Below are 20,539 nucleotides of genomic sequence, written 5' to 3' on the forward strand. Positions count from 1 at the left end.
ATAATAGAATATTAGAAATCACTATCGAAATAGAGAAACAATTTATAGCATATGTATGATGCAATATTCTATATCAAAAATTATTAAAAACCCACATATATCAATATGAATGAATTTCAAAAACACAATGCTGAGTGAAATGGCAAGTTCCAAAATATATGCATTATATAACACAGGCAAAAACAAAAATACAAGTTGAGTATCCCTTATCCAAAATGCTTGGGACCAGAAGTGCCTCAGATTTTTTATTTTCTTAGGATTTTGGAATATTTGCATTATACTTACCAGTTGAGCATCCCAAATCCAAATATCTGAAATCCAAAATGTTCCAATAAGCACTTCCTTTGAGCATCAGGTCAGCACTTTAAAAGTTTTGGATTTTGGAGCATTTCAGATTACAGATTTTCCAATTAGAGATACTCCAACTTGTACAATACAAAACAAAACCATAAAACAATATTTTTTACACTACTCTGTGTTGTTTATGGCTTGAAAGAAAGATATAATGCAAATATAGAAAAACAATGACATAATAAATCAAGGTGGTTGGTACATGATGGCCTTCTATATAATTTTTACGCTTATTTTGATTAGAACATAGTTTATATATATTTAGCAATTTTAAACTGAAGTTTACCACCATTATATTTTGTTTCAATCTCTTCTTTTAAAGAAAAAAATGCTTAAAAATTAATTCTCAGCCATATTTACTTCTGGGTAAGTTTGCAGTTGTATATTTAATGTGCATGCATAGTACCCCTATATTGTAGGACTTTTCACTGTACAAATGTAAAAAAGAAATAGAAACCAAAGTAAACTTCTGTGGCTCTGGTACGCTGACTTTGTATGGTCCCTTTGGGAAGATAGTGTAGGACAATGGAAAAAGCATGGAGTCAGAAGCCAAACCGACCTCAGGTCAAACTACACTTGCCATTTGAAGTGACCTAAGATAAATATTTTACCCTCTAGGAGCCTCAGTTTACTTATCTGTTAAGCAACAGCTAAATTTAAAAATTGTTGAATGAAGATCATTTAATTATGATACAAAGCAAGTGGGAAGTAGTCCATCAATAGTAGTTATTATTAACATTATTAGATATTTCCACAACTGCAATTATACCTATTTGTATCAGAGATGATGTCTGAAGGAAATAAAAAGATATTCTAAGAAATAAATGGACATAATAATTTTAAAAGTTAAAGAATTAATTAAAAAGTTGAGGTAAGGCATCTGGTTTAGTTTAGTTTTATTTTTAAGTGATTTAACACAACAATTTTATTATGCTGTGTCTTCTATGAGACAGGAATTCAGACTGAGCCTAGTAGAGATGACTTGCCTTTGTTCCACAATGTCTGGAGATCCAGCTGGAGAAGCTGAAAGGCTGGGGATGAATGTTTGAATGCCACTTTGCTTGTTTTCAAAGTAATTTTTCAGGTTTTTTTAAAAAGTGTCTACTACTCTAGGGCATTTTAGAACTAAAGTAGTATAAATGACTGCAAAAACTTATAGCTGTAAATTGAAGATCAACCAAAAATTAAGAGACATCCCTAAAAAGATAGTTTAACGCAAACAGACAGAAAGAGTTCATTTTGACATCTGGTTTTAAGAACCTGGCTATTATATAAAGTGGTAAATTTATTTGTCATTCTTGGGAAGAATATTTACTATCTTATATACAATTATTTTATTTATTATGATACGTACATCAGTATGTTATATATAGAAAAATCAGGACCTAGAAAACTAGATTGAGCTCATATTCTGCTTTGTGGAAACAGATTATATATATATATACAACTAAAATACTCATTGGTTTACTGAGTTTTTACTCAGTAAACAAATACTGGTTTGTCCAGGCTTAATTTCTATTTCTGTAGCTAATTAAAACACTAATTTTCCAATAAGTCTGCCAACAGATAAATGGCCACTTTTTTAGCCATTCGTGGGTGGCTGACTCACCCTGATTCACAAGCCTCAATTCTGTATAAAAAGGAAATGGAAAACATCCTGAATTATAAGCAATCAAAATGCCATCAGAAACTAACAACACAGTTTAATTAAAAAGAAAAATCCATAGTAATTCATTGTTGTTCCTTTCCCGTCTTCACACAAGAAAATAAGAGGTAATACAGAGAAGCAATTAAAATGAAGTCTTCTGCCCTGAGGGTGTGTGCCTCGAAACTTTGCCAATGAAATAATTAGCTCCAAATTTCTCATTTTTTTCCCCTTTGTAATACTGAAATTGCTTCTGGTCTTTCTCCAGAAACAAAGCACTTCCTTTGCCTCTTTAGTTAACCCTAGGATTCGAAGAATCTTCAGTTATCTTGTTATTCTGTCAAAAGACTAAGACTGTGTGGTTACAAGGCCATTGTCATTATTTGATTAAGACCCCAGGTAAACTGGAAACCAGCCTAATTTCATGAACACACTGGATTTGCATAACCTCTGAGATGGATTGATTGGCCTGAAATTAAAGAGTAGGTGCGCATGAGTGTATCTGTCACCAGAGGAGATGATAGGGAGGTGGATTCACCGAGCACAAAGGTATCGACACTGCTGTGAAACTTCAGCATGCATCCTACACTCTCACCATGATCAGACCTCAGAAGAAAGCACACATACTGTTCTGATCTACAAACAAATGCTGTACTGCTTACCCACAGAGACTGCAACCACAACATGGGCAGCACCCAGCTTTAGCCAACAAACCCACGTGGCAATATTGGGTACAGCACACATGCACAGGCTCAGGACTGAGGACCACTGAAACAGCAAGATAATGTGTTCACAAATGAAAAACCACGTGTCACTTTCAAGCTACTCATGATCACTCTCATGCATGTCTTTATGATGTGGCAAACAGGGACGTGTGATAAACACTAAACTCCAGTAAAGAAGACACTGGTGAGGTTTAAAGTATGTGGAGGTCCACGTGCAAGGGGCTCAAGGTGGCTCAGGAGCAAAAGAAATGGAAGGTGGAGTTCCATGAACGGTTTGGGGTAGATAAATATGAGCAAGGTGCATGGAATGAAAACACAGAGTAGCACCTGCATGAGACAGCCTGAGCGCCATTGAAAAGAGAATCCTGACCACTGGGGCACAGCCCACAGTACATCCTCTCCCAGCAATCACAGTGGCACAGAGGAAAAGAACAGCAAGAGAACTCTTACTGTAGCACGCGGGAGTGGCTGAGATCTTTCAGATCTGAGTCCTCATAATAGGGAGCTATCATCCCCAGCCCACTGTCACTCAGCATGCGTTTCCGCAGGGCAGGATTCCACCAGTCTGAGATCCTGAGAGAAAGAAGGGCACCAGACAGTTAAACATTCAAAGTCAGCCACGTGACTTCGTTTCCACTTTCTGAAGATGAATCTTGCCAGTAAATGTGAGAAGCAAAATTCATCTTTATGAAGTGTTTACCAGATACTACCCATTTATTATTTCATTCATTTATCTCAACAATCATGAACTATTTGTATGATTCTGTCCCCTTCACAGATGAGAAAACTGATTTTCAAGATTAAGTCATTTTAAATGTGACATGAATAAGAAGTAATAGACCTAGGGCAGAAATGCAGATTAGAAAATAACAAAGTCCATCCTGTTTCACTGCTTCCCTGTTCCTGGTTTAGTTCAGGGGAGGCAACTGGTGAGAAATAAGAAAGGCACTGATTCAAGTCCTGGTGGATTTTCAGGCTACTTTATTTTTGGAGCTAGAGCTAACAGAGGTCTAGCAAGGCCAAAGCATTTGGCCATTATTTGACATGAAGAAAACGACCATACAAAAAATTAGCCAGGCGTGGTGGCAGGCGCCTGTAGTCCCAGCTACCCATGAGGCTGAGGCAGGACAATGGCATGAACCCGGGAGGCGGAGCTTGCAGTGAGCCAAGATCGCACCACTGCACTCCAGTCTGGGTGACAGAGCGAGACTCCATCTCAAAAAAAAAAAAAAAAAAAAAAGGAAAAGAAAAAGAAAATGACCAAGTGAGCAAAGACCAGGGCAACTTGGCAGAATGGACTTTCTCCTTACTAGATCAAGAGTCAGAGCCCAGGTTAGGTGGGGTAGGAGGACACCCAGACTCTAGCACCTGCTGCTTCTGCAGTAGGACAAAACACTCTACCTGCTTTCCCCACTACTGATGGGTCTGATGCATGGATGTGCCCCACGAAGTTGGCCTTCCCCACCACCTTTGGGGCTCCCAGGGGTGCATCAGGTTACCCCTTGTGCCTGTCGGCCTTCCCCCATGCTCTGACATCGCAGCTCTGGCTTCCTGAGAACAGCTTGCTATCAGGCCATGCAGCCACTTGTGTCCTCTCTTGTCTCCACCTAGACTTGGTACATATTGGACATCAACTGCCCCTGGCAGAGTGGGAAACCACCCACAAATAGCAGCAGTGAACCAAAAAAAGTGAAAAAAAGTAAATCAAGTGACAAGGGGAAAACAGGAATGAAGATGACATTGCAGTTGTGCTAGCCTAGTGGACTGTTTATTCATACTGTATGAGTCTGTGTACACGATGTGCATTTACTATTTGGGCACATTGTGTATGGTTTCTAGAGCAATTCTTACTTCAACAATTCAGGCCCCATAGACCAGTAAAACACTAAATTTCACAAGGACAAAGATTCTTATCTGTTTTTATTTTTGTACTGTTATTCCCCAAGTGCTTACACTAGGACCTGGCACACAAAATTCTCTAAATAAATAGTTTTTAATTATTGAAATAACTTAGAAATACTAATTATGTTTTGGTGGTAGAAGGTGGTAGTTAAATGCATGGGCTCTGGCATCAGGTAACCCAGGACTATATCTCATTTTTTCTACTTATTTTCTGTGAAATATTAGACAAGTAACATAACCCTTTAGGTCTCAATTTTTTAATCTATGAATTAAGGATAATTGTACCAAATTTTCAAGGTCACTAGAATGATGGTGATGACTATTATTATTATTGTAATAACATTCTGTTTAATGCATGTTTTAAAAATGCCAGGAATGACTTTAAGTGCTTTACCTGTATCAATTCTTTTAATCGCCAAACAATTCTCTGAGTGAGGATTATTGTTATTTGTATTTTACAGATGAGAAAATAAGCACAGAGCACTTAAGATGATTAAGTCACTATGAAGCGGTGGTAGAAACAGAAGAGAGACACAGGACAGAGCTCTTAAAAAGGGCTTGGTATGTCATAGTTATTATTATATAATCTACATGTCTCCAGCAGCCTGGAAATAGCAAAGAAGAGGAAGAGGAGAAAATTTGTCAAATCACCTGTGTCAATTTTTAATGTAGATAACAGAGTTACTACAAACGTACAAGCACAAACACAAGTACTAGTGCTTTCTAGGTTTGTTAGGAAGGGTTGCTGTGATGGGGAAAGAGGCTTGGACATGGTGTAAATCTGGTTTTGTGTTTCTTCACGGCCATTCATAAGACAGACTTATAATAACCACTCTAAGGAAACACAACAAGAAAATCTACACTTCAAAATCATTTGATGTCATTAGAACGATGTCAAGTTCAAAGGCGAACCAGACATGGATGTCACCCTAAGGCCAGCCTCACAGGCCAGGAGAAGCACACTCACCCCGAGGCTTGTTCCACCACCAGGTCAGGCATGCCCGGAGGTGTCCCCGCCGGCTGTGACACCACCATATCTGGGTCCAGAATAAAAATCTCATCTTGGGAAATCTCCATCACAAAGTGCAAATGTTCCTAAAGAAGAACAAGAAGTCTGTTGCATGAAGAATAACAAAACAAGTATTCTTGGTCTCGAGGAATAATGAAATTCTGCAACGTGTCAAAGGATCACACTGTGTTGTCAGAAGCTTGATCAGTTGGTGATCCTCCCCAAAGCTGCGCTAACGCAGACAGTGGGAGATAGGGAGAGATGAATCCCCTTGGTTCAGGATTTCCAATTAACCAGGACTTTTTCTTAGATATATCTAGAAATGGTCTTGCCTCATCTTCTTCCCAAATACTATTAGAGAAGTGACACCCACATACAATTGGCCCAGCAGGAGTGTATGGTAAGTGGACTTCTACCCCGTCATCTGGTCAAAGCTAAGCAGCATGGTTAACAACTTTATCATTAGGTTCAATACTGTACATTTTTCTCCTAGGAGAATTCAGATAATGGGAGGAATTCTTAACTTGGGCAAAACCATTTTTTTTTTCTCATCACTGACCTCCAGGGATTGGCGAACTGAAACTAAGTAGTCTAGTTATACACCTGGGGCCTCAAACTTGCTAAACAGAAATGAGCTTAAAAAGACATGAAATTTGGCTAAAAAGGAGTAAAAATATCTTTGTGAATGAAAATTTGGAGTACAGGCTGGTGATAATGTCTACAAGTCAACTTATTTTCTGTACTCATTTGCAAGATTAAGCCACATCATCTTGAGTCCATAAATCATAAAACACGTGAAGACAAATAAAAGGTTCAAGCTTAAGTTATGAACACCATTCCAAAATTTGTGTCTCAGTGGTTTTCGTTAGAAAAATTTATGAGATTAGCTACCAATAAAGCACATTAACTTGGGAATTTTTCACTTTCACAAGCAGGCTGGAAAAAAACTTACCTGAGATCTGTCTATTCGATAAAAGCGATCAGCAGAAGTTGCTAGGGGAAAAAAAATGCAGATGGCATTCAGAATGTTCTGTAATCTGGCACCAAATTTATAACCTTCTCTTCGACTATGCTGGTCAAAACCCCTACATGGCAGTCATGCTAGTCTCCTGGCCAGTCCCTAAATCTATTAAGAAAACCTCAGCACTTCCATGCCTCTGCCACTGCTATTCTAAGGCTTGGAAAGCCCTTCCCTTTGCCTCTGCCATCTAAATCATACTTGTCTTTAAAGAACCAGCTCAAGTGCTTCTGCTTCTGTGAAACCTTTCTCAGTCCCAACCTCCCAACACCAGACAGAACCTGCTGACCCTGCATCCATCCACATTTACATTTTTTAAAACTTCTTATACAGACTATCTTCACAGATAACCATGAGACTAAGAGACCTGCCTCTTTAAAAATCTGTTTCATTTAATCTTTTATGCCTCCTGAAATTAGCAAATGATCTTAAAGTAAGTTAGGAATTAGTATGTATTTATTAAGTAAATAAAGCTAGAAAAAGCTACAGTTACGTAGACTTCTCAGTGAAGTGACTTCCCACTTCGGAAAATGGCTTGAAGATTCAGGCCAGAGACCATATGTGGTCTTAAATGAATCATTTCACTTTCAACCTGCATCCTTAGAGTCATGTCTGAAGGAAGCCAAAACAGCAAAAAAATTATTTAAGCATTCTCTGAAAGAGATTGAGCTACATCTATGGTATGCGAAAAAAATCTAAATTACAAATTTTGGGTTTCTAGAAATTATTTTAAATATTCCTAATATTAGAAAGAACTATCAGCTGCATTTTGGGAAGCTCAGGTGGGAGAAGTGCTTGAAGCCAGGAGTCTGAGACCAGCCTGGGCAACAAAGCAAGACTTCATCTCTACAAAAACAATTTTTTTAATTAGCTAGGGATAGTGGTGTGCCCCTGTGGTCCCAGCTACTTGGGAGGCTGAAGTAGGAGGATTGCCTGAGCCCAGGAGTTCAAGGCTGCGGTGAACCATGATCATGCCACTGCACTTCAGCCTGGGCAACAGAGTCAGACTCCTATCTCAAAAAAGAAAAAAAAAAAAAAGCAAACCAAAAAGAATTATGTGCTTCTCACTTAAATCTATCTAACAAAGCCCAAATATTATAAATAGATTTTCTACAAAACAAACAGCACAAGAAAGAAAAACTCAAAATGCAAGCACTTATTTAAAATTCACAAACATTTAATGAGTAGCTTCTCTCCAAAGGCGACAGAACTAAGAAACCAGCCAATCATCACCCCTGCTGTCTAAAACCTAAGAATAGAATAAAATCTGCCTTGGAGAAATTCACTCTACTTTTTTCTTTTAAACCATGACTGCAATTACCTTTTAAAGGTTTTATTTTATTAAAACTATGGAGTAAAACTACTACCTGGGCTAAGACTGTCAGCCACAATATTTGTACTTTTATTTAAGACTTTAGATAGAACATAACAACATAAATATTTTCATAATTTTCTCAAATACAAGTTGTTCCTCTGCAAATTCAGGAATGACAAATGATTATGTTTCTCATTGCTATGGAATAAAGAAGCTGGAGGAAAGTTCTGAGAGGCAGCTGATGAGACATTAACAAAAACCTACATCATGATTTATGTGGGTTAGATCTCATACAGATACAAGTGCCCATCTTCATAACACTAGAAAAATATATATATGGCATTCAAAGTGTTCTGTGATCTGGCACCAAAGTTATAACCTTCTCTTCCACTATGCCAGTTAAAACCCTTACATTGCAGTCATGCTAGGCTACTGGACAGTCCTTAAATCTTAATAGATCTCTGCTGCTGCCATCCCAATGCTTGCTCATACACTCACAAATCCTGTCATACTCATATTCACATTTATATCCTCTCAGATGCTCACCCAGAAAAACAAAAAAGGGGTCTACAATGAAAATCATGTCTCCATATGAACAAAAGAGAGAATGGGTAGTAGATACATTCGGTAGTATGTAAGCATGAATATACAGAGGTGAGAAGGTACTGCAATACGGGTAATTGGATAGAAATGTAGTATTAGGCAGCATCTAGGAGAGAGATACTTGAGATAAAAAAACGGACTCATTAAACAATCATAAGATAACTAACCTATTATGCATGCAATATATCATGCGGATCTGAGCAGATTTGAATGCAACTGAATTTTTCCACCTTTTTCCAGAAATGTATACATCATACTGCAATAATGGTCTCATAAAAATAATATGAATGTTCCATAAGATGCAAATAACATAGAAATTATATCCATCCTATGCATATAGAATCCAGCTACTGGTCTGAATTAATTTAAGGCAGGCAGTCAAGCTTTAAGAAAAGAGGGCTGATGAAAGAAAAACATCGGCCTGAGCAACTTGATGCTGAGTTCAGCCAGAGTTAACCAAGCTGTGTTGAGGGAAATGACTTCAGGAAAGGACAGTGCAATATCAGCAGGCCCACATTGTTCCGCATGCCAATACCAGCCATGTGGAGTCACATGAAGGCTTTCTGAATAATCTTTTGGAAAACTAGAGCCCACCCTATCAATTGATGCCTTGCTCTTCAACTTCCCCAACTCCCACGATACCCGCAAGAAAGGCAGAACTCACCATCTAGGAAGCACCACCGAGGAGAGAGCCTCTGTGCTGAGAGAGCCCTGGGGAAGGAGGTTTCATGGTCCTGGAAAGAGACACACACACTCTAGTGGCTGCATTTCAATAACCTGATGGGCTTCCCTCACTCAGCATTCTGCCATCCTTTCCTACACAAAGCACTGGTGAGAAGAGCAAATCACATTTTTTTTTCTCTAGGAACACAAAGAAGGGCTCTTTTTTGAAATTCTTTCACATAGAACTTTTGAAAATGACTCCCTCATAAAATTAGCATGAGGTTTTTAATTATTCCATTAAATATTTTCAATTATTCCATTAAACATAAATAATCTAATTTAGGACATTTACTTCCTTATGGGAATTTCTTTCTTTCCCTTTGTGAAGCCAAGGAATGAGTGACAGCTGGCTGTCATTGACACATAGGTCTAAGGCGCTGGCACAGAATGGGAATGAATCAAACGTTATCTACTGGCCACACGGGACATACGGTACGTGAGAAAAAGCAGCAGCCATCCATACACAGGGACTGTTCATCTACATGGAAACAAAGAAAATCAACCTCGCATACTGAGGTCATCTCTAACCTCAGCCTTCTCCACTGAACCTAATTACAGAGGAGTAGACAAGGAAGAAAAGTAGTGCCAGGTTAACTCATGACAAAATCACTCTGTCCAACACTCATCCAGACAGCAATGTGCTCATTCACCTGAGCATTTTCTAGGCGTCTCATTTCTATGACCTCCCAATTTCCCCTCTCCTATTTAACATCAAGTCTGCCTGACATAACTACCATCATTCTTTCCTCTGGGTTCGGATAAAAATAGTTCTCTTCTCTCCAAAGTCAATCACTTAATTTAGACTCTGGACTATCTTTCTTTCTCCTTTGAACTTTATTTCTGTAGCATTATTAAAATCCACTCATTAATTCTTCTGCTCTCAATAGTTCCCTCTCTTCCAAAATAAATTACCCTCAGCTGATCTTGTTACATCTATTTTTTTAATTTTTATTTCATTTATATTTTATTTTTTGAGACAGGCTGTCTTCCAGGCTGTCTTCCAGGCTGGAGTGCAGTGGTGTGATCATGGCTCACCATAGCCTCAGTTTCCTGGGCTCAGGTGATCCTCCAGCCTCAGCCTCCTGAGTAGCTGAAACTGAAGCTGATATATCTTTTGATAATCTTCTTAAACTCTCCTTTCTTGCCCTTCCAAACTCCTGAAGCTTATGTTTATTATCTCCTGCTCCAAGTCTCACTTACACACCTCAGACATGACCTCTAGAAGCTTGGCCTCTGACCTCCCAGCCTTCCAAAGCTGCCCTTCCAAGAGATTGCCAGGACTAGCTTGCTTCCCTGACTTACTACAATTCTCAGTTCCCAAACTTCCTTGAAGTCTCAGAAGCTTTTATTTCTTATAAAGAATTAAGGCTACATCCACGAAACAGAAGAGAGAACTGGCAGATTGAAAACTGAAAGGATTTTCTCTTTAAGATTCCAAACTTTTAAAAATTAAACATTTTCTCTACTAAGAGAAGCCTGCCAGTGATAACTGGGGAGGGAGGAGAGCACCTTCTAGTTTACAACATGTGATTTGGAGCATTCTAGCCCTGGTTTGCAGTGGAATTGAAATCACTGACAGAAATGGGACAAACGAGGGAGGCCAGGTCTCTGTGGGGAAGACACTGGGAGTCTGGCCCTTAATAGGGATTTGAAATGTTCAAATGTAGGGAGCAGCACTGGGGTGCGGCTGTGCAGGCAGCAATAAAGACTTGGCAGCTGAAGCCGCAGGTGTGGATGATCTTGTGTGTACAGAGGGGACAGGAGAAGAAAACAGGAATAACATAGAAGAAGTAATAAGGACCCAATCAGAGGTTGTACTGACTTTCCTGGGAGTTAATCAACACTCCCTGCTGCCCTACTTGATCCTCAAATAAAGCCTGGGATTAAATCACTTGTTCTCAAAGTGTGCATCAGCTAGAAACTTGTCAGAAACACAAATTTCCAGGGCCCATCCCAGGTCTACAGAAGCACTATGGGTGGAACCCAGCAATGTGTTTTAACAAGCCTTTCAGATAGGTCTGAGGATGTATGTGAAAGAACCTAAAGTTACCGAACAAAAGGATGCATCTTAGTAAACTAGAAACCTGGAGTGTATGGAGTTTTACTCTAAATGAATTCTGTGAATTAAATAATTGATAGAGGAAAAAATGGTCTCATTCAGGAATGCTACCAAAATCTATATTTATAAATATAAAATATGTATATCATTTATATTTATAAATATATCCATATAGCTATGGATACAGAGATACTATATAATATATACAGAAAAAATATATGTTACATATAGTCTCTCTCTTGCTCTCTATATGTATATATGTATATATAATATATACACATGTATATATTATATATTATATACATGTGTATATATACATTATATTATATATGTATATACAGACATATATACATATATATTATATACACACTATATATGTATATATGTTATATACATACATATATATTATGTTATATATAATATATACACATATATGTGTATATATACATATAAATATATATACACATATATATGTGTATATACATATAAATATTATATATACACATATATATGTATATACATATAAATATTATATACATACACATATATATGTATATATACATATAATATATGTATATATACACATAATATTATATGTATATATACATATAATATTATATGTATGTGTATATTTATGTGTATATACATATAATTATTATATGTATATATACATATAATTATTATATGTATATATACATATAATTATTATATGTATATATACATATTATAATTATTATATGTATATATACATATACATATTATATGTACATATACATATATAAACGTATATATTATATGTTATATATACATATATATTATATATACACGTGTATATATTTCCTCTTTTTTGAACTGGATTTTCATCCTGATTGTTGAGCTAAGTAAAATCTTGACATGTGCTTAGTAACTATTTATATGAGAATTATGTGTAACATTTTGAGAATTATATTTTGACATGTGTGACAACTTGTTTTAAAGGAACTTAAGGTACTTAATGCATTTTTGAAAAACAGATAAAGCTACTGACGTCTCTCAGTTGGGTGAGAAATGTAATTATAGATCAAGACATTTGGAAGTGATTCAAAATATTTAGTGGCAACTATGAAAGCTAATAAATAAAGAGATTAAACAGAAACAGGATTATCTTCTCTATGAATAAAGGGGCTAAAACATCAAGGACACTTTCTGCATTTTGATGTTGAATATGCTGCAGAGGACACAATAAAAAAAATCCTAATTTCTGTATGTAAAAATCAATGGAAAAAATACAGGAATGCTTGATTTATTGTTTTAAAAACCTAAGGATCCATCACACTATCTCTAGGCTATTCTAATTACAGAAAATTGGATGTTATTTAGTCTAGGTTAGTAAAATCTAGATTGAGGCACTGCCTCAGCAACATGACTACCACAGGTTGGTAAGGAAATATAGATGGTATATATCTTTTTATGTGCAGGTGGCTGTGTGTCTGGAGAGTTTTATGCCCATGCCTGACTTTTTTAATGTAGTTTGCTTTTGTTCACTTATTTACTCTACATTTTGATCCATAGATGGAAATTGCAAAAATGTTTGATCTACAGAAACATCTGATATAACTCAATGTTCTTAAAGAGGTTTCGTCTAAAGATAACATTACAATTTTGTTTGGTGAAAACACATGGGTCGCCATAAAGCTCTTTAAAATACTTTAATGGGTCCTCAAATAGGTTCAACAATTCTTGAACTCTCCAAAATTGTATGCCAGATTTGGTATGTCTATGTGTATGTTCATTTTCCTGGACAGAAAAACCACTGCTTTCTAGATTATCAAAGTGATCTGAGATTTCCAAGATGCTAAAAAAGCTATTAATTTAAAGAATCAAAAATTTATGTCACAGAGAATTCAACAAAATAAGAAGATTCTGATCAGTAAAATGCCTTATGAGAATAGGAATCACCAATGCAAAGTTACTGGTAATTGTAATACCAAAACAACAAACAACAAAAGCTCTCTGAGCTTGTGGCTATTCTCCTAGGAGCAGACTGAAACTAGGTCAATTTTTACATGGAAAGACTCAACTTTTTGCTTATTTCCATCCATAGTCTCTCCCAAGTGTTTGTTTTCAGTGCCTTAAGTTCTTCTACTTATGTTCATTTTTATAAACAAAGGGAAAAAATGTATTTATATTTACCATTGTATGGTATTAATAATTGAAGTTAAACAATACATCATTACTTAAAGGCACAGGAATCTGATTTTAACAATTGGATACTTTCCTGGTGACCTGACAATTAAACTTCAATTTTGGGAGTTGTTAGAAAAGCAAAAGTAGAGTTCTAACTTCTGTGAAATGCTTCCCTGAAATACATTTGCATCCTCTTCCAACTTTTGTGAAGCTCTTTCCACCTTGTTCCTTTAAGAAGAAGTGAGTTCTTAAAGAAACAGCTACTCACATAATAGGTCCTACGTTAAAAGTCATTTGAATTCCAATGAAAAACTGTAATTACTATCTGGGCAGATTCATAATGCAACTAAACTACTTATTTAAAAATTCTACATATATAAAATGTACAAAAGCATCAAGTCTCAAAAAAAATTGCCCTTGAATCTATTCCATGTACATATCTAAGCAGATGAAAATGCTTCACCTACATCGGGACACTAAAAATTGGAGATTTTTTTGAAGTCAATGTTAAAATGATGTTCCAACATAACAGATTGACAATATGCAAAATACACCCACAAAATATGCCAGTAATCGGTAAAACAAGAAACAAGAAAATCCAGGTACGAAGCATAAATGGGTGCTGAAAATATATCTCAAAGATCCAAGACAGAATAGGAGGTGAAGAGCAGGCTAGGGACAGAAAAGTTGGTGGTGGTTGAGGTGGCGGTGGTGGATGCTGGATTTCACTTGAGTTGAAAAACAGAGCAAAAAGATAGTGAGAAAGTCTGCTTCGCAAAACTGAAATTGTTGTAGGATGTGATCATCATTATCACAGACAAGCTAAGAATTGAGATGCCAAAAAATGTTCCTGTCCTTGAGGTGTTAAAATATCGTAGGGGAGACAGATCTGATGAATGAGATGGAAAAACAAGGCGAGAGATTGTATGGGATCCAGCCCCAATTAAGCAGCAAGCCCAGAGGCGGCGGAAGGCTGATGGGAAGCACACCAGCTTTGAGAGGCACGACAATCCTGGCGCCCTACCCGCTACTCGCTGTGAGAGTGTAGGATAGTTTCTTATCCAGTTCCTTGAATACCTCATTTTAAAATGGCTACAATAATATCTATCATAAAGGGTTCTTTTGAGGAATTAATGACACATAAAATGCTTAACCCATTTGCCGAAACATGTTTATGTGCAGATATAATTATGCGAGAGATAATTATATCTCATGTTAGGCAGCTGAGACATTATTTTACCTAAAACAATTCTGCCCTTAGTCACATGAGGGTCTCATGGGACACAGGCCACATTTCAGACCAGATCATTTAGATGGTGCTACCCCTAACACAACACTATTTATCCATAAATACATTTGCACTCAGATTCTGAGTTTTGGAGAAAACAAAGAAATAGGACAAATTTGTATGAGTGAACACAAAACAGAGTGGCTTTAAACAAAGGCTGAAATCATGCCATTTGTTGGTTTGGTGCTTATAGGGCTTGTCTTAATCAGCAATCCAGTGCCTCTGTTCACAACATTAGATGTTATATAATTGTCTTAAATACAGGATATTGTCTTCAAGGCTGAATGTCTTCTATCACCAACAAGCATACATTTCGGAACATTTTATTTTACTGATGTCTCCCTTCCCCATTCAATAGTAACTGCCTACTTGCTATTTCCTTAGTTTCACCAAAATTAACGTGTCACTTGCTAATTTGTCAGTTGTCACAAAACTATACATTATTCTTTTTCCTGTGATACAACTGTGATCAACCTTTTTAATGTGTATTTATTAAAGCCAATGAAATGCAAGGCATGTGACGGAAGGTCACAAAAAACGAAGCATGGACCATGTCGTTAAAGGGTGGCCACTACACTAGGAACCAGTCTAGGTGCTCTGCATGCTTCTTTCTGGCTCCAATTCTTGGAGTTACTGTAAGTCTGATTTACCAAGTTTCAACTTCTTTTCCCAATGGATGACTATTTTAATTACGATTTCAATTTATTTCCTGGCTACTGCCAACAGCCACCAATTTTGGAAAAAGGATTTTGAGCCAGCTGCCAAAAGAATCAGAGCTTGGTAATTAAAAAAAAAAATAGAAGACAGCAGAATAAATTCATTGTTGGCAAACCAAATGGAAGGCTCAATTCACATTTAAGAAAGCCCTTTCCTTTCAAAGTCTCAAATTTGGGGCTAAAAACCTTTGTTCTGGAGCAGTAGTTTTCAAATAGTCCTGGTGCTGACGTACGGCCAAGAAGTGCCAGCAGATACAATCCTGAGTCATCCAACCCCGTTACATAGAGGCCAGCTGTCACGATGTCAAGTAGAACAGGTAGCTCTTGACTCTGGCTCTCGTTCATTCCTCCCTACTCTTAGTCTTCCACCTACAGCTTCTGCCCTGACTCATCTCCACTGTCTGGCAGTGAAGGATAAGAAACACTAATCCGGACAAGCTGTCAAAAAATCACTGAACCACATTTTGGTGATGGTAATTTTCCTTTTTTTTTCTTTTTACGGTGTGCTCATTTTTTGCTTCTGAGAATTTCCCATAAACATGGCTCTACTTCTGTATTAATGGTGGCTATAGATTAAATAAAGCTTAGACTATTCCATTTTTTATTTCATCTACTGAATAATTTATACTTGATAAAATTTCACTCAGCCATATATGTTACTATCAGAATTCACAATTGGAGTGTTCAAGTCTCACATAGTCATCTCCCTTAGTTTTAGGGTTACCTGGACACTGCCATAGAGATAATTTAGAAATATTAGGCTACAGTCTCAATAATAGCTTAATTTTAACCCATAATCTTCTATGCATGTGCAGGCTTTTTTCGTTTTGTTATTAAGAAGGCTGCATAATCTAGCTCCTACCTACCTCTCCTGCAATCCACCCCACTATTCTTCCTGAACCTCTTCTCCTGCATGTAAGAGCTGGCCACAATAAAGAACTGCAGTGGTGAGAATTTAAGTAAACTACCCAGAAGCCCCAAGCTATTCAGTGGTGGAGAGTACAGACTTCTTTTACTTCAGAGCTCATGACCTTATGCACAGGGTTTTACAGCTTCTAGAGGAATTATGATTTCAGGTTTTGAAGGAAGAGTGAGGTTTGGTATAGATCAAGTTTGAGAGCTCAGAATTTTCTAGACTCAGCTCAAACAAAAGCAGGAAGAAAGCAAACCTAGAATGATCTAAATGGCTATGAAGATCTCATTCTACTCTAGTCAAGGATCTTACACAGATGTCAAACTAAGCTTCCTGTTTCTTACCAGACAGTTTGCTCCTGGTAGCTCAGAGTTCCTGCCCCCACACATTCTTCAGTCTTGCTCTCTTCCCACTTCCCACCACTGTGTTCCCTGCTGCCTAAGAATTCCACAGAAATATGGTAATCAATGGGAATGGCAGGCAACCCCAACCCAGACACAGGAACCGAGACTACAACCATGTGAAGAAAAATCCAATTACAGATTTTGGGTAACTTTGCTGTATGCATTATGTAACTTATAATCTTCACACAAATATAGCCAATCTTAATATGTTTTTAGCATGTTGCATGGTTTTCATTTCTGTTATGATTTTATTTTTGAAGTACCATAAAGTTTATTGGAATTTTGCAAACATTGGCAACAATACTACACAACCTAAAAATGCCATCCATAGAAACAGCATTAAATATATACCATGGAATAGAGTGATAATTTTTAAAGACTGAATTAGAGTTTCACCTATTAGCAAGATGAATTTCCATGGTACATTACTGTTAAAAATAAATTGTGGTATAATATGTATAGTGTGCACATGCAAATTGTAAACACAGTTTTATTTTTAGTGTAATTTTTATTTTTTTTTGAGACAGGGTCTCACCCTGTCACCCAGGCGGGAGTGCAGTGGTGCAATCTCAGCTCACTGCATCCTCTGCCTCCTGGACTCAAACAATCCTCCCACCTCAGCTGCCCAAGTAGCTGGGACTACAGGCACATGCTACAGCGCCCGGCTAATTTTGGGGTTGTTTTTTTGTACAGACGGGGTTTCACCATGTTACCCAGACTGGTCTCAAACTGCTGGGCTCAAGCGATCTGCCCATGATGGCCTCCCAAAGTGCTGAGATCACAGGCATGAGCCACTGCGCCCAGCTACATTTGTATTTTTAAACAACAATCCCCACATATGTATTCATGTATGTCTATGTGCGTAACTTTGTATAAATGTAGGAAAACAAAAATGCGCACCATAAAGGTCTACATTGGGTGGAGAGTTAAAAACCAAACAGAAGTCTAGAATTACGTACAATATCAAAACTGAGGTAAACCAAGATTATAAAACCTGGCAGATTGCAGAACACACATAGCTTATATAAGTCAAGAGATATACCATGAGGACCTTGATATCAGAGAGAAATGCATATTGTATGGGTTAAAAATGGAGCAGGAATAAAGAGAAGCAGAATATCAGACAGGAATTCACAATTTACCGCGATAGTCCATAAACTTTTTATGCTCGCACATTCTTAACCTACCATGACCACACAGATGAATGGGTTTCTTCCGTACGCAGGGTACAAATAATTCCTGCATCACGTCTATCTATACACCTTTCTCTTGTACTTCAAAAAAATAATAATAATTGGAGTGTAAGTGAGTGATAGTGATGTTAATAGACAGGTATTACTGAATTTTCTCTAATTAGTGTTTAAAGTAACTCTCGTTACTAATCCACACAGCTCACATCAGGTAAACACCTTCTCTGTTCTCAGAGGGTCTGGAAGACTGGTAGACTGGGTAGCCCTGGCATTAAGGATTCCTTGATTCAGGGGCATCCTCTAGTCTCTGCAGAAGGGTGAAAAGCAGTGCAATGTGGACCGTGAATTAGACTTGGAAGGAAATAGGAAGTAAGAAAAACTAATGGCTCCTGGAAAGGGGGTGAATATTGGTTCCAGGACAGACCTTAGCTTCATGGAAGCTCTAGGTTGGACCTGGCGATGTTCTCATCACTACACAAGAACACAAATGGTCAGAGTGTGTTTGATTTGTGAATGCTGCACATTAAATAAATGTACAGTGACCTATTTTCCAATAGAGAGAAAAAACACAATCTTAAAAATATGCGTCTTTCAAAAGCATCTGACAGTAGATACTGAAGCAATAGGATTGTATGAATGCAGCTATATTTCCCTGAGCTGTGCCTCTAACCATCATATCCAAAGCTTTCAATGGTAATTTAGGGCCTCTAGTCTCCCCAGTCCTCTCAAATTGCATGATCAAATCAATGATTCATCAAAGAGATAAGATACTTGACTTGCCCATTTTGGATCTGTGACTTTTCTTCATATAAATGGTGTGATTTAGATGAATGCAACTGTCATTGCTCTGTAATGTAGGCCAAATGACATAACCTTAGATATACCATGCTCCTTTCTATTTTAAATATAATAATCTTCTAAAATTACATGCTCTTTAAATGAATAATATTAGCAAAAACTGCTCATTTCAAAAATCCCTGATACGTGAATCTTCTCTTATGATATATATTAATGGAAAATACGTTTCTTGTGCTAAAAATATAGGCACATGCACAAACACAAAACTGACATTCCTCATATATATATATATTTCTGAAAGCCAACTGGCACAAATTATATAAAATTGATGAGAAAATGATCTGAACCACTATTTGGCATGCATATGCCAAAGTTACCCTTAATTTACATGCAATTGCTCATAGCTGATGCACACATAATTTAATGAAGGCACAGCAGCCCCATCACACACTAGTAAGTTTTCCAATTAAGCAATATTCACCTAGTGTTGAACTATGCCTTCAATGTGAATGAAATTCTTTTTCTTTCATAAAATTGAGAAAAGACATAAACAGAAACAAAACAAAAGTTCTATGGCTTGGGAATCCCTGCCTCATTTAATAATGGCCAATCAATAATCACCTTACTTTTAAATTTCTCTCATTACCCATTCAAAATTCTCATCTGTCTGCCCCAACATCTCCCACATACAAGCCATCTATCCATTTTTTTAACATAATGTTGCATACAAATAGGTATGTATGTGTCTCTGTCTAACTACAGCCCCAAATAGGTTTGCTACTATTTATTTTAATATCTTAAAACCCCTCCATCTCGAACCTACTTTACCACTCATGACTCCTACAGTGGAGGAATACAGAAATGGCATAGCCATTCTTCAACCCAGATTTCGAAGATGAAGACAGTGGGGTAGAAGATAGAAATAAGCAATATTCTAACATTTTCAAGAGTCCCTTTGTGTGAGAAAGTTCTCCATTAGCAATAATGACAACTCCAGTACTGTCTTCACTCGTAAGAGACAACAGACCTGACCCTAGGCAAGTCTTATTTAATTCCTCATTTGACCCATTTCTGACAGCTTTAATCTAGTCCAAAGGAATGGCATTCTCCAAAGTTTCTAGCTGGTACTGTCCTCTCTCACACAAGATAAATCAATTCCCAGGAAGACTCTCTAAACCTTGTCCCACTCTATCTATTGAAGGACTCTTCTAGACTCCAGAAAACAAATGGAGGAGGAAGAGATTTCAGAGAAAGGAGAGAGATGAATAAGGACAGCCAGAATAAAGAGAAAGGGGATGAATGAAATATTTATAGGAAAATGCTGTTTGCCTAGAACTAGACACAATTTTAATGGAATACAACATAGGCTGGTCCTCCAGAAGAGCAGGCATGTAGGAACAAAGGACATCAGAGGAGGAACAAGTAATGTAGACTCCGATCTGACCAAGAGGTTGTTTTTTTTTTTCTTATGAAAGTGAAAGACATCTGTACCACCCTGAAGAATGAAAAGGCTTTTCAATAATGTTTTCTCTATTTTTAAATATTCCAACCATTCTGGTACTATTTTTAAGTGAGTTAATTCTTAGAGAAAGTAATCACCTGGTTGAATCTATTTTTGCAACTACAGGTGAATCCTATGGTATGCACTAAAATCTCAAGTTATAATTCCTACCATTTAATGCCCCATAAAGAATCACCCTGGGGAAATGGGGAA

General features: G+C 37.2%; 1 protein-coding gene across 8 annotated transcripts in view; it reads right to left on the reverse strand.

Moving 5' to 3' along the window:
* The window catches only part of DGKI (diacylglycerol kinase iota), a 465,938-nt gene that overhangs the window by 79,281 nt on the left and 366,118 nt on the right, over positions 1 to 20,539 (reverse strand). For 4 of the 8 annotated variants that reach the window (NM_001321708.2, NM_001388092.1, XM_047421020.1 and 1 more), the window contains 4 exons: positions 9,233 to 9,302; positions 6,585 to 6,625; positions 5,591 to 5,718; positions 3,172 to 3,294 (listed from right to left, as the gene is read on the reverse strand). In NM_001321708.2, coding sequence (NP_001308637.1) covers positions 3,172 to 3,294; positions 5,591 to 5,718; positions 6,585 to 6,625; positions 9,233 to 9,302 — 362 coding nt within the window. The remainder of the gene's footprint in view (positions 1 to 3,171; positions 3,295 to 5,590; positions 5,719 to 6,584; positions 6,626 to 9,232; positions 9,303 to 20,539) is intronic. The other 4 variants (XM_047421022.1, XM_047421021.1, NM_001321710.2 and 1 more) reach the window with 2 other exon arrangements.

Source organism: Homo sapiens, chromosome 7 (genome assembly GCF_000001405.40).
Source record: "Homo sapiens chromosome 7, GRCh38.p14 Primary Assembly".
Classification (NCBI taxonomy): domain Eukaryota; kingdom Metazoa; phylum Chordata; class Mammalia; order Primates; family Hominidae; genus Homo; species Homo sapiens.